The sequence below is a fragment of the Homo sapiens genome, chromosome 8 (genome assembly GCF_000001405.40).
Source record: "Homo sapiens chromosome 8, GRCh38.p14 Primary Assembly".
Classification (NCBI taxonomy): domain Eukaryota; kingdom Metazoa; phylum Chordata; class Mammalia; order Primates; family Hominidae; genus Homo; species Homo sapiens.
In genome coordinates this window covers 65124603-65140084 of record NC_000008.11, presented here as the reverse complement: position 1 = coordinate 65140084, position 15482 = coordinate 65124603, and the positions used below count along the sequence as shown (strand labels likewise).

Sequence of the window (15482 nt, the reverse complement as noted above, 5' to 3'; positions counted from 1 at the left end):
AATAAAGCTAGGATAAATTAAAATTTGCAATTGTTACATGTAACAGGCAAATTTCTGCTGTGTCAATAAAGATAGGGCAAGTATTTGTTGATAGGTTTATCTGTTGTAGAGTGGTCATTGTAGACACACTGACATGGAGAACAGGAGAACATGAAGTAAAACTTTTTTTTAACTTTTTTATTTTATTTTTCCATAAGTTATTGGAGTACAGGTTGTATTTGGTTACATGAGTAAGTTCTTAGGTGGTGATTTGTGAGATTTTGGTGCATCCATCACCCACATATACACTGTACCATATTTGTAGTCTTTTATCTCTCGCCCCCCTCCCACTCTTTCCCCCAAGTCCCCAAAGACCATTATATCATTCTTATGCCTTTGCATCCTCATAGCTTAGCTCCCATATATCAGTGAGAACACACAATGTTTGTTTTTCCATTCCTGAGTTACCGCACTTAGAGTAATAGTCTCCAATTTCATCTAGGTCACCGCAAATGCTGTTAATTCATTCCTTTTTTTTGAGACAGAGTCTCGCTTCGTTGCCCAGGCTGGAGTGCAGTGGTGCCATCTTGACTCACTGCAAACTCCGCCTCCCAGGTTCAAGCGATTTTCCTGCCTCAGCATCCTGAGTAGCTGGGACTACAGGCACGTGCCACCATGCCCAGCTAATTTTTTGTATTTATAGTGGAGACAGGGTTTCACCGTGTTAGCCAGGATGGTCTCGATCTCCTGACCTGGGTGATCGACCCTCCTCAGCCTCCCAAAATGCGGGGTTACAGGCATGAGCCACCACACCTGGCCAGTTCATTCCTTTTTATGGCTGCATAGTATTCCATCATGTGTATATATCACGGTTTCTTTACCCACTCATTGATTGATGGGCATTTGGGTTGGTTCCATGATTTTGCAATTGTGAATTGTGCCACTATAAACATGTGTGCCCAGGTATCTTTTTTGAATAATAACTTCTTTTCCTCTGAGTAGATACCCAGTAGTGGGATTGCTGGATCAAATGGTAGATCTACTTTTAGTTCTTTAAGGAATCTCCACACTGTTTTCCATAGCGGCTGTACTAGTTTACATTCCCACCAGCAGTGTAGAAGTATTCCCTGTTCACCACATCCATGTCAACATCTGTTTTCTGATTTTTTGATTATGGCCATTCTTGCAGGAGTAAGGTGGTATCACATTGTGGTTTTGATTTGCATTTCCTTGATCATTAGTGATGTTGAGCATTTTTTCATAAGTTTGTTAGCCATTTGTATATCTTCTTTTGAGAATTGTCTATTCATGTCTTTAGCACACTTTTTGATGTGATTGTTTTTTTTTTTTCTTATTGATTTGTTTGAGTTCGTTGTGGATTCTGGATATTAGTCGTTTGTCAGATGTATAGACTGTGAAGATTTTCTTCCACTCTGTGGGTTGTTTACTCTGCTGACTGTTCCTTTTGCCGTGCAAAAACTCTTTAGTTTAATTAGGTTGCAACTATTTATCTTTATTTTTACTGCATTTGCTTTTGGGTTCTTGGTCATAAAATCCTTGCCTGAACCAATGTCTAGAAGAGTTTTTCCATTGTTATCTTCTAAAATTTTTATCGTTTCAGGTCCTGGGTTTAAGTCCTTAATCCATCTTGAGTTGATTTTTGTATAAGCTGAGAGATGAGGATCCAGTTTTATTCTCCTACATGTGGCTAGCCAATTATTCCAGCACCATTTGTTGAAAAGGGTGTTCTTTTCCCACTTTATGTTGTTGTTTGCTTTGTCTAAGATCAGTTGGCTGTAAGTATTTGGGTTTATTTCTGGGTTCTCTATTCTGTCCCATTGGTCTATGTGCCTATTTTTATACCAGTACCATGCTGTTTTGGTGACTATGGCCTTATGGAGTAGTTTGAAATCAGGTAGTGTGATGCCTCCAGACATGTTCTTTTTTGCTTGGTCTTGCTTTGGCTATGCAGGCTCTTTTTTAGTTCCATATGAATTTTAGAATTGTTTTTTCTAATTTTGTGAAGAATGATGGTGATATTCTGATGGAGATTGTGTTGAATTTGTAGATTGCTTTTGGCAGTATGGTCATTTTCACAATATCGATTCTACCCATCCATGAGCAAGGGATGTGTTTCCATTTGTTTGTGTCGTCTGTGATTTCTTTTAGCAGTGTTTTGTAGTTTCCCTTGTACAGGTCTTTCAACTCCTTTGTTAGGCATATTCCTAAGTATTTTATATCTTTTGTAAAAGGAGTTGAATTCTTGATTTGATTCTCTTCTTGGTTGCTGTTGGTATAATAGAATAGCTGTTGATTTGTGTATCTTAATCTTGTATCTGGACGCTTTGCTGAATTGTTTTATCAGTTCTAGGAGCTTTCTGGAGGAGTCCTTAGGGTTTTCAAGGTAAACGATCATATCATAAGCAAACAGTGACAGTTTGACTTCCTCTTTACCGATTTGGATGCCCTTTATTTCTTTCTCTTGTCTGATTGGTCTGGCTAGGACTTCCAGTACTATGTTGAAGAGGAGTGGTGAGAGTGGGCATCCTTGTATTGTTCCAGTTCTCACAGAGAATGCTTTCATCTTTTCCCCATTCAGTATTATGTTGGCTGTGGGTTTGTCATAGATGGCTTTTATTACACTAAGGTATGTCCCTTGTATGCTGATTTTGCTGAGAGTTTTAATCAAAAAGCGATGCTGGATTTTGTCAAATGATTTTGCTGCATCTATTAAGATGATCATGTGATTTTTGTTTTTAATTCTGTTGATGCGATGTATTACATTTATTGACTTGTATATGTTAAACCATCCTTGCATCCTGGTATGAAACCCACTTTACCATGGTAGATTATCTTTTTGATATGTTGTTGGATTCAGTTAGCTAGTATTTTTGTTAAGGATTTTAGCATCTATCTTCATCATGGATATCATCTGTAGTTTTCTTTTTTGTTTATGTCCTTTCCTGGTTGTGGTATTAGGGTGATACTGGCTTCATAGAATTAATTGGTGGGGGGTTGGGGTTCCTTATTTCTCTATCTTGTGGAATAGTGTCAATAAGATTGGTACCAACTCCTTTTTGAATGTCTGGTAGAATTCTACTGTGAATCTGTCTGGTCCTGGAATTTTTTTTTGTTGGCAATTTTTAAATTGCTATTTCAATCTTGCTGCTTGTTATTGGTCTGCTCAGAGTATCCAATTCTTCCTGATTGAAGCTAGGAGGGTTGTATTTTTCCAGGAATGTATCCATCTCTTCTAGGTTTTCTAGTTTATGTGCTTAAAGGTATTCATTATAGTCTTGAATGATCTTTTGTATTTAGTGGTGTCAGTTGTAATATCTCCTGTTTCATTTCTTAGTGAGGTTATTTGCATTTTTTCTCTTCTTTTCTTGGTTAATATTGCTAATGGCCCATCAATTTTATTTATCTTTTCAAAGACCCAGCTTTTTGTTTCATTTATCTTTTGTATTTTTTGTTTGTTTGTTTCAATTTCATTTAGTTCTGCTGTGATATTGGTTATTTCCTCTCTTCTGCTGGGTTTGGATTTGTTTTTTTCTTGTTTCTCCAGTTCCTTGAGGTGTGACCTTAGACTGCCTGTGCTCTTTCAGACTTTCTGATGTAGGTGTTTAGGGCTATGAACTTTCCTCTTAGCACCACCTTTGCTGTATCCCAGAAATTTTGATAGGTTGTGTCATTATTGTCATTCAGTTCAAAGAACTTTTAAATTTCCATTTTGATTTTGTTTTTGGCCCAAAGCTCATTCAGAAGCAGGTTATTTCCATGTATTTGAATGGTTTTGAAGATTCTTTTTGGATTTGGTTTCCAGTTTTATTCCACTGTGGTCTGAGAGAGTGCTTGATATAATTTCAGTTTTCTTAAGTTTATTGAGGCTTATTTTATGGACTATCATATGGTCTATCCTGAAGAAATTCCATGCGCTGTAGAATAGAATGTGTATTCTGTGGTTGCTGGATGAAATGTTCTGTATATATCTGTTAAGTCCATTTGTTCCAAGGTGTAGTTTAAATCCATTGTTTCTTTGTTGACTTTCTGTCTTGATGACCTGTCTAATACTGTCAGTGGAGTATTAAGTCCCCCACTATTATTGTGTTGCTGTCTATCTCATTTCTTAGGTCTATTAGTAATTGTTTTATAAATTTGGAAGCTCCAGTATTAAGTGCGTGTATGTTTAGGATTGTGATATTTTCCTGTTGGACAAGGCCTTTTACCATTATATACTGTCCCTCTTTGTCTCTTTTAACCACTGTTACCTTAAAGTTCCTTTTGTCTGATATAAGAAAAGCTACCTCTGCTCACCTTTGGTGTCCATTTGCATGAAATGCCTTTTTCCACCCCTTTTACTTTAAGTTTGTGAGTCCTTATGTGTTAGGTGAGTCTCCTGAAGGCAGCAGATAGTTGTTTGGTGAGTTCTTATCCATTCTGCGGTTCTGTATCTTTTAAGTGGAGCATTTAGGCCATTTAAATTCAGTGTTAGTATTAAAGTGTGAGGTACCATTGCTTTCATCATGCTCTTTGTTGCCTGTGTACTTTGTTTTTGTTTTGCTTTTTAACTTGTATTTTTGTTTTATAGGTCCTGTGTGATTTATGCTTTAAAGAGGTTCTGTTTTGATGTGTTTTCAGAATTTATCTCAAGATTTAGAGCTCCTTTTAGCAGTTCTTGTAGTAGTGGTTTGGTAATGGTGAATTACCTCAGCATTTGTTTGTCTGAAAATGACTGTATCTTTCATTCATATGTGATGCTTACTTTCACTGGATACAAAATTCTTGGCTAATAATTGTTTTACTTGAAGAGGTTGAAGATAGGGCCCCAATCTCTTCTAGCTTGTAGGGTTTCTGCTGAGAAATCTGCTGTTAATCTGATAGGTTTTCCTTTAGAGGTTACCTGGTGCTTCTGTCTCACAGCTCTTAAGATTCTTTCCTTCATCTTAATTTTGGATAATCTGATGACAATGTGTCTAGGTGAAGATCTTTGTGTGATGAATTTCCCAGGTGTTCTTTGTGCTTCTTGTATTTGGCTGTCTAGGTCTCTCACAAGACCAGGGAAGTTTTCCTTGATTATATCCCAAAATATATATTCCAGGCTTTTAGAATTCTCTTCTTCCTCAGGTACACTGATTTTTCTTAGGTTTGGTCATTTGACATAATCCCAGACTTCTTGGAGGCTTTGTTCATATTTTCTCATTCTTTTTCTTTTTCTTTGTTGGATTGGGTTAATTTGAAGACCTTGTCTTCGAGCTCTGAATTTCTTTCTTCTACTTGTCCAATTCTATTGCTAAGGCTTTCCAGAGCATTTTGCATTTCTAAAAGTGTATCCAAAGTATTCTGAATTTTTATTGTTTTTCCTTTAAGCTATCTATTTCCATGAATATTTCTCTCTTCACTTCTTGTATCATTTTTGGGTTTCCTTGCATTGGGTTTCACCTTTCTCTGGTCCCTCCCTGATTAGCTTAATAACTAACCTCCTGAATTCTTTTTCAGGTAAATCAGGATTTCTTCTTGGTTTGGATCCATTGCTGGTGAACTAGTGTAGTTTTTAAGGGGTGTTGAAGAGCCTTGTTTTGTCATATTACCATGGTTGGTTTTCTGTTTCCTTCTCATTTGGGTAGGCTCTGTCTAGGGCTGAAGGCTGTTGTTCAGATTCTTTTGTCCATGGGGTGTTCCCTTGATGTAGTGCTCCCACCCTTTTCCAGTGGATGTGGCTTCCTGTGAGCCAAACTGCAGTAATTGTTGTCTCTCTTTTGGGTCTAGCCACCCAGTGAATCTACCCAGCTCTGGGCTGGTACTGGGGGTTTCTGCACAGAGTGCTGTGATGTGGACCCTCTATGGGTCTCTTAGCCGGAGATTATCCGGCTACCTGTTTCAGTGGAGGTGGCAGAGGGTGCAGTGGACTCCATGAGGGTTCTCAGCTTTGGTGGTTTAATGCTCTATTTTTGTGCTGGTTGGCCTCCTGCCAGGAGTGGTGCTTTCCAAAAAGCATCAGTTAGTAGTGTGGAGAGGGATCAGCAGTGGGCAGGGCCCTAGAACTCCCAAGATTATATGACCTTTGTCTTCCATCAGGGTGGGTAGGGAAGGACCATCAGGTGGGGTGGGGCTAGGTGGGTCTGAGCTCAGGCTCTCCTTTGGTGGGTCTCGCTGCAGCTGCTGTGGGGGATGGCAGTGAGATTCCCAGGCCACAGGAGTTGTGTACCTAGGAGGATTATGGCTGCCTGTGCTGAGACATGCAGGTTGTCAGGGAAGTGGGGGAAAGCCAGCAGTCACAGGCCTCATCCAGCTCCCACGCAAACTGAACAGTTGGTCTTGCTTCCACCGAGCTTCCCCAATAGCCTCTAGTCCATTTCCAGGCAGAGGGTGAGACAGGCTTGAAAATTTGCCCAAGGCTATCCACCTCCCAGCTGCAAGAGAAAAGGGCTTTAGTTCTTCCCCCGCCCATGAAGTCTGCATGCCCTATTTGCCCCCTCCCCCAGTTCTGGCCAAGAGGCTTCTCGCCCTGTTCAAACTGTTACAAAGTTCAGCTAGAGAATTCCTTCTTCCTGTGGAGTTTTACCCTCTGGTCCTCTGGCCACCCTCCTGATGGATCCCTGTGATGCCAAGCAGGTGTTAGATATGAGTTCTAAATTTCTTTTCAAAGAATTAATATGTCAGTATGTTCAATTCTTTGCCTTCTACTTTTAAACTTAACTTCCTTGTAAAGCAATCTTTTTCGATTACCTACTCCACCCTAACTCATTCTGATCACCTGCTCCACCCTAACTCATTCCAATTACCTGCTATCTGCTCTGCCCTGACTCCCGCCAAAGCACTCACCCTGTCATTTTCTTTAAATTAGCCAATCAGAATTAGTTTAGCCGGTGCGGTTTAACCCTAGCCAATAGGGGAAGGACACAGCAGCAGGGGCCATGTGCATCAGGGATAAGAACCCCTTCCCCACCCTTGTCCAAGTGTGTGGTCACCATTGCTCCATCTGTAAGGGCACACCCTTCTATAGAAGTAACTTGCCTTGCTGAGAATTAAAAAGAAAATTTTATATTCAAGTGCTATTTCTTTTGCGGCACCAAAACTTTATATATAACAATTTTCGGGCTCATCCGTGATTACATTCCCCTCTGGGGATGGTCTCTGGTTCTCTCTTGTGAGGAGGCGCGCCCCGCCCCCTTGTGGCGGCCTCAGGGGTGAGAAATCAAGACCCACCCAGTGCAAGGAATAACCCAAGCTTTCAGCAACGTGGGTGAAAAAAAACCAAACTGGCCAGCAATCTAGCTTAAAGGATCCTCACATCCTGCGGCAATGACTCTGTGCACAGATCAAGGAAGGAGAAACTGCGGGAGCTGGTAAAGTATTTCCTTGGTTGTTGGGACCAAGGTAAGGAAGCCATGGGGGGCGGGGGTGGGCAGTGAAGTACTCTTTGGTTGGGGTGGCTTAGAGGTTAAAAAGAGGTGAGATGTCCCCGTTGCGGGGGATTGACCCTCACACAAACCTCCAGTAGTAGAAAAGGCAAGAAATTTCCAGTGGGGGAAATTGAGCTTCACCCTAAAAGGCAAGAAATTTCCAGTGGGGAAATTGAGCCTCACTCCAAAAGGCAAGAAATTTCCAGTGGGGAAATTGAGCCTCACCCCAAAAGGTAAGAAATTTCCAGTGGGGGAAATTGAGCCTCACCCCAAAAGGCAAGAAATTTCCAGTGGGGAAATTGAGCCTCACCCCAAAAGGTGAGAAATTTCCAGTAAGAGAAATTGAACCTCGAACCTTACCCCAAAACCATCAAGATGGGAAATACCCCAAGCAAGACAAGGAACAAGGGGGATAAAGATGGTAGCAAAGATATCCCCCCAGATAGCCCCCTAGGTCTCATGCTAAAACACTGGAAAGATAATGAAAGGACTAAACACAGGAAAAAGCAACAAATGATAAAATATTGCTGTTTTATTTGGACTCAGGGACCCATCCTCAAACTTTCAATCTTCTGGCCAAAGTTTGGGTCAAATGAGGACGTAATGCATCAGCTTCTAATCTGATATGTTAATAAAAGTCCAGTGTCTCAAGAAGAACTAGGCTATACCCTTTGTTGGAGGCAAGGACCTGCCCTCCTTTTTCCCTTAAAAACATAGGGAGGAACCCAATCTGGCACCTCAAAATGAAAAGTCAGAGGAGCTAGCTCTCATGCCTAAAGACTCCAGTGAATGGGATCCCCTAGACTGTCTTCCCCCATTCAGTGTCCCCAATCTTTCCCCTCAGACAGCCACTGCTGCCTCAGATCCCGTTCCAAATTCCCCCTGACTGACGTTATCCCTCCTCCTTATAACCCTGACTCTTGGGAATTACCATCCCACCAGCCTGTTCCCTCCCAACCTAAAGACCTCTCTCTAAAAGGACCCCCCCTCCATCTGGAGGACCAAGGTCCTCATCTACCAGGACCCCTAAAGAGTATGGGGGAGCAGGGTTAAAGAATCCCAGAACTAAGAGAGAGGAAGGACATGAGAGGTGCTATAGATGTGGAAGAACAGGCCACTTCAAGAGAGGATGTCTTGAACTAAGAAAGGAGAAAGGAGCCCTTCTACTCATGACTTTCAAGGAAGAAGAGGGGGGTCAGGGACTCTGTCTTTTATCTTGAGTCTCACCAGGAGACCCTGATGAATTTGGAGGTGGGACCTAAACATGAGATTATCACCTTTTTAGTTGATTCAGGGGCTGCGTGCTCCTCTGTTTGTTTCCCCTCGTCTAATGTCTCCTCCTCAGAGGAACTTTTAGTCTTCAGGGTAAAAGGGGAAGGAGATGGGGGAGAACAGCAGCATAAGCGGCTGGCAGAGGCAGGGCAAGACCAGTGGAGAGGAAAGAGAAAGAGAGAGAGAGAGAGGAAGAGACAGAGACAAAGAGGGAGTCAAAGAAAGAGAGAAAGAGAGAGACAGAAAGTCAGAGAGAGAGAGAAGTAGTAAAGAGAAGACAATGTACCCTATTCCTTTAAAAGCCAGGGTAAATTTAAAACCTATAATTGATAATTGAAGGTCTTCTTCGTGACACTATAACACTCCAACACCACCTTGTTGTCAGTGTAAACGAGGGCATAGCCCGAAAGAGCTGAGGCCACTGACAACCCATAGCCTTCCTATCAAAAGCCTTAACCCAGTGACCCACGGATGGCCCAAATTCATTCAATCTGTAGCAGCAACTGCTTTGCTAGCAAAAGAAAGTAGAAAAATAACTTTGAGAGGAAACCTCATTGTGAGAACACCTCACCAATTCAGAACTATCCTAAGTCCAAAAAAAAAAAAAAAAAAGAAAAGAAAAGCAAAAAGGTGGCTTACTAACTCAAAAATCTTAAAATATGGGGCTATTCTGTTAGAAAAAGATGATTTAACATTAACCACTGATAATTCCCTTAACTCAGCAGGTTTTCTAACAGGAGATCTAAATCTTAACCAGTTACCATACAGAGGTCCGACCAGACCTAGGAGGAACTCCCTTCAGGACAGGACAATAGATGGTTCCTCCCAGGTGATTGAGGAAAAAAGACACAATGAGTATTCAGTAATTGATAAGGAAACTCTTGTAAAAGCCGAGTTGGGAAAATTGCCTAACAATTGGTCTGCTCAAACGTGTGAGCTCTTTGCACTCAGCCAAGCCTTAAAGTACTTACAGAACCAGGAAGGAACCATCTATACCAATTCTAAGTTAATTTGGACTAAACAAGGTCTTATTAATAGCAAAGGATAATCAAAATCCCAAACTTACAAGGTTTTCAACAAAAGTAAAGTTTGCTAAAAGTTAACAGTGCAACGTGTATTATCCTAACTTCTAATCTTGTGGCCTTAGACAGTCTAGTCCACAGACATGAAGAAAGTTTGCTTTGGAAAAGAATGGTTATCATCTGTGAGAAAAAAAAAAAGTCGGGGGGAGAATATATGTAAAAAGGAATGTTATATGGTAAATTCTTGTCCTAAAATAAATTAACTGGTTGTTTTGAAAAAAGGGATGTTTACAATAAGTCAAAAAGTTGAGGTGTGTCGAAGAACTGTCTGTGAAAGTCATGAAAAAAAGTATGTTATAAAAAGGAATTTATGCAAGAAATGTTGTATAATTTGAAAGTACTTAGGCCTCCTGAATGTAAAACTGTTGAAGAAACAGTTTATGTGCAAGGTATATAAGGAAAGTAAAATATACTTTTGGTAAAAGAATTATAAGGAGGCATAAGAATGTAGATTTTTACCTACATTAGAAGGTTAAAATATTTTGTTTTGAAGTTTTAAGGAAGTTTTTTTTTTTTTTTTTTTGAGATGGAGTCTCGCTCTGTCACCCAGGCTGGAGTGCAGTGGTGTGATCGCCACTCACTGCAAACTCCGCCTCCTGGGTTCACGCCATCCTCCTGCCTCAGCCTCCTGAGTAGCTGGGACTACAAGCGCCCGCCACCACGTCCGGCTAATTTTTTTGTATTTTTAATAGAGACAGGGTTTCACCGTGTTAGCCAGGATGGTCTCGATCTCCCAACTCATGATCCACCAGCCTCGGCCCCCCAAAGTGCTGGGATTACAGGCATGAGCCACGACGCCCGGCTGGTTTAAGCAAGTTTTAAAACATTAATTGTAAAGGAAATTCTGTGTGTAAACATATTTGCTAAAGTTAAAAGTGTATCATCCAGTTTTTCCATGAACTGGACATTAAAATAAAAGCACAACGGGTTTTTCTTAAAGCACTAACCTGCTCTTTAACAAAAATTATAAAAGGTTAAAAAGAGTCTATAAAAAAATCTTACCTTATAGTCAGATGTTAAAATTGGATAAATATGTCTATAAGGTTGTATTACAATTGAGTTTTACATTAATAACACACTAATATAAAGGTGAAATTTAGCTTATCTGGTATAAAATCATACAGGAAGCACTGTCAAATACAAAATGGTGTTTGGCTTTCTTTGGTCTAAAAACTAATAAAAATAGGTTCTAAAGGAAATTTCTCAGTAAGAAGGCACCAAGGACTATAAAGTCCACTGCTGATGTCTCCACATTTAAAACAAAATATCAATTTCTTAGAAATTATATACGTGTTTTATCTTCCACTTTCCTTTCCCTCAAAACTAAAAGTCTTTTAGCACAGGTACCACCCCTAGAATTTCTGGCAAACCAGCACCAGCCTGAGGATCACGTTCTCATCAAAGGGTGGAAAGAAGGAAAACTCGAGCCAGCCTGGGAAGGACTGTACCTTGTGCTGCTAGCCACTGAGACTACTGTTCCTACAGCAGAAAGGGGATGGACTCATCACACCCGAGTCAAGAAAGCACCGCCCCCTCCAGAGTCGTGGGCCACAGTCCCAGGGGAAAACCCTACCAAACTAAAGCTAAGAAAAATTTAACTCTCTTTCATCTATTCTATTATTCTTTCTTCTTTCCTCACTCTATTGCTGAACATCTAGTTATTAGCATAACCAAGTCAATTTCACCTCAAACGATTGCATTTAATGCTTGCCTTGTTATACCCTGTGGGGACTTGCCAAGTCAAAGACAGATTTCTGCTTCAGAAAAGTACCTGTGTCCCTCCTGACTGTCTTCAGATTGGACATTAGTGAATTGGGACCATTTAATCCAGGGAGATTCCGATAAAGACCCCAGTGTCAGTCAGGAGAGTTGTTCCCTGATGTAGAGCTTTTATGCCATAGTTGGTCCAACGTTCTGTGGACCACTAAAGAGTAAGAATGGACTGCCCCGACTGGTTTTTGTAATTTCCTAAAACCATACATTCATTTTACTAGAGGGACAGCCCTCCCCTCTAACTGTCAGCTAAACCAGTGTAATTCTATACAGGTTATTATCTCAAACCCTCAAAGTTCTTCCCCTTTCTAAGCTGATTTCCTTTTTTAAGCCAGTTTTATGGTATGGGGTCTGAAGTTTCAGGGATAAACCCTATTAGATTCTTTGAAATGCGTTTCTTTGATCCCCCACTGCCTGCACCTTCCTCTAAGCCTTCTTCCAAAACCTCTCACAATGGAACAATTGCTCCTTCTCCATTTAACGACAAGACCAAGACAGCTATCATAAAAGTTAAAGACTTAAAACAAACTTTGGCAATTAAGACAGGATACCAAGATGCAAATACCTGGTTGGAAAGGATCAAAGATTCTGTCTGCATGTTAAACAAAAGCAATTGTTATGCTTGTGCACATGGCAGGCCAGAGGCCCAGATTGTCTCCTTTGCACTAGGGTGGTCCTCCAGTCGATTGGGCATGGGCTGCATGATAGCTCTTTTCCAGGATTCTACAGCCTGGAGTAATAATTCATGCCAAGCTCTCTCTCTGCTATATCCTGAAGTCTGACACCCTGCGGGTCAGCCCCTGAGGGCCATCCAGCTTCCATCTCCCAACACTAAGTTCACTTTGTGTCTCTTGTGACAGGGAGAAAACTTAATGTTCCTTGGAGAGCTGAAGGGATGCAGTGAGCTTAAGAATTTTGAAGAGCTTATCAATTAGTCAGCCCTTGTTCATCCCTGAGTGGATGTGTGGTGGTATTGTGGTGGACCTTTACTGGACACTCTGCCAAATAACCAGAGTGGCACTTGTGCTTTAGTCCAATTGGCTATCCTTTTCACCCTGGCATTTCATCAACCAGAGGAAGGAAAAATAAGACATTGTAAAGCAAGAGAATCCCCTTATGGGTCTTTCGACTCTCACGTCTATGTAGACACAATAAGAGTTCCACGGGGAACACCAGATCAATTTAAAGCCCAAAATCAAATAGCTGCAGGATTTGAGTCAATATTTTGGTGGGTGACAATGAATAAAAATGTAGATTGGATAAACTACATCTATTACAACCAACAGCGATTTATTAACTACATTAGCGATGCTGTTAAAGGAATAGCTGAACAATTAGGGGCTACTAGCCAGATGGCTTAGGAAAATAGGATAGCCTTAGACAATATATTAGCAGAAAGAGGAGGAGTTTGCATCATGATTAAAACTCAATGTTGCACCTCCATCCCAAACAACACCGCCCCTAATGGAGGTATAACAAAGGCATTGCAAGGTCTGACTGCTCTATCCAATGGGTTAGCCAGCAACTAAATGACCCCTTTACAAGATGGCTAGAAAAGTAGTTTGGTAAGTGGAAAGGAATAATAGCCACAATTCTGACTTCCCTTGCAGCCGTAATAGTTGTACTTATTTTTGTCGGGTGCTGTGTCATACCATGCATCCATAAGTTGATGCAGAGGCTCATAAAAACGGCACTTACTAAAACCTCCCTTACCTATCCTCCACCTTATCCAGAGAAGCTTCTTCTTTTGAAAAATCAAGCAAAACAACTAAGCCAAGACATGTTAAAAAAAAGTTTGAAAAGAAAGCTGTAAGTCAATACAAGGGGAGGGGTTGTTAGATATGAGTTCTAAATTTCTTTTCCAATAATTAATATGTCAGTATGTTCAATTATTTGCCTTCTACTTTTATTTTTTTTCTTTTTTTTTTATTATACTTTATGTTTTAGGGTACATGTGCATATTGTGCAGGTTAGATACATATGTATACATGTGCCATGCTGGTGCGCTGCACCCACTAACTCGTCATCTAGCATTAGGTATATCTCCCAATGCTATCCCTCCCCCCTCCCCCCACCCCACCACAGTCCCCAGAGTGTGATATTCCCCTTCCTGTGTCCATGTGATCTCATTGTTCAATTCCCACCTATGAGTGAGAATATGCGGTGTTTGGTTTTTTGTTCTTGCGATAGTTTACTGAGAATGATGATTTCCAATTTCATCCATGTCTCTACAAAGGACATGAACTCATCATTTTTTATGGCTGCATAGTATTCCATGGTGTATATGTGCCACATTTTCTTAATCCAGTCTATCATTGTTGGACATTTGGGTTGGTTCCAAGTCTTTGCTATTGTGAATAATGCTGCAATAAACATACGTGTGCATGTGTCTTTATAGCAGCATGATTTGTAGTCCTTTGGGTATATACCCAGTAATGGGATGGCTGGGTCAAATGGTATTTCTAATTCTAGATCCCTGAGGAATCGCCACACTGACTTCCACAATGGTAGAACTAGTTTACAGTCCCACCAACAGTGTAAAAGTGTTCCTATTTCTCCACATCCTCTCCAGCACCTGTTGTTTCCTGACTTTTTGATGATTGCCATTCTAACTGGTGTGAGATGGTATCTCATTGTGGTTTTGATTTGCATTTCTCTGATGGCCAGTGATGATGAGCATTTTTTCATGTGTTTTTTGGCTGCATAAATGTCTTCTTTTGAGAAGTGTCTGCTCATGTCCTTTGCCCACTTTTTGATGGGGTTGTTTGTTTTTTTCTTGTAAATTTGTTTGAGTTCATTGTAGATTCTGGATATTAGCCCTTTGTTAGATGAGTAGGTTGCGAAAACTTTCTCCCATTTTGTAGGTTGCCTGTTCACTCTGATGGTAGTTTCTTTTGCTGTGCAGAAGCTCTTTAGTTTAATTAGATCCCATTTGTCAATTTTGTCTTTTGTTGCCATTGCTTTTGGTGTTTTGGACATGAAGTCCTTGCCCATGCCTATGTCCTGAATGGTAATGCCTAGGTTTTCTTCTAGGGTTTTTATGGTTTTAGGTCTAACGTTTAAGTCTTTAATCCATCTTGAATTGATTTTTGTATAAGGTGTAAGGAAGGGATCCAGTTTCAGCTTTCTACATATGGCTAGCCAGTTTTCCCAGCACCATTTATTAAATAGGGAATCCTTTCCCCATTGCTTGTTTTTCTCAGGTTTGTCAGAGATCAGATAGTTGTAGATATGCAGCGTTATTTCTGAGGGCTCTGTTCTGTTCCATTGATCTATATCTCTGTTTTGGTACCAGTACCATGCTGTTTTGGTTACTGTAGCCTTGTAGTATAGTTTGAAGTCAGGTAGTGTGATGCCTCCAGCTTTGTTCTTTTGGCTTAGGATTGCCTTGGCGATCTGGGCTCTTTTTTGGTTCCATATGAACTTTAAAGTAATTTTTTCCAATTCTGTGAAGAAAGTCATTGGTAGCTTGATGGGGATGGCATTGAATCTGTAAATTACCTTGGGCAGTATGGCCATTTTCACGATATTGATTCTTTCTACCCATGAGCATGGAATGTTCTTCCATTTGTTTGTATCCTCTTTTATTACCTTGAGCAGTGGTTTGTAGTTCTCCTTGAAGAGGTCCTTCACATCCCTTGTAAGTTGGATTCCTAGGTATTTTATTGTCTTTGAAGCAATTGTGAATGGGAGTTCACTCATGATTTGGCTTTCTGTTTGTCTGTTATTGGTGTATAAGAATGCTTGTGATTTTTGTACATTGATTTTGTATCCTGAGACTTTGCTGAAGTTGCTTATCAGCTTAAGGAGATTTTGGGCTGAGACAATGGGGTTTTCTAGATATACAATGATGTCATCTGCAAACAGGGACAATTTGACTTCCTCTTTTCCTAATTGAATACCCTTTATTTCCTTCTCCTGCCTAATTGCCCTGGCCAGAACTTCCAACACTATGTTGAATAGGAGTGGTGAG

The 15482-nt window shown here is 40.5% G+C and overlaps 2 annotated features.

The window, feature by feature from the left end:
- Positions 6976-7477: an enhancer, noted in NCBI's record as "NANOG hESC enhancer chr8:66044843-66045344 (GRCh37/hg19 assembly coordinates)". NCBI's record gives its function as "activates a minimal SCP1, AML or CMV promoter by ChIP-STARR-seq in primed H9 embryonic stem cells {active_cell/tissue: H9 hESC(primed)}" and the evidence as "EXISTENCE:reporter gene assay evidence [ECO:0000049][PMID:30033119]".
- Positions 9246-9770: an enhancer, noted in NCBI's record as "NANOG hESC enhancer chr8:66042550-66043074 (GRCh37/hg19 assembly coordinates)". NCBI's record gives its function as "activates a minimal SCP1, AML or CMV promoter by ChIP-STARR-seq in naive H9 embryonic stem cells {active_cell/tissue: H9 hESC(naive)}" and the evidence as "EXISTENCE:reporter gene assay evidence [ECO:0000049][PMID:30033119]".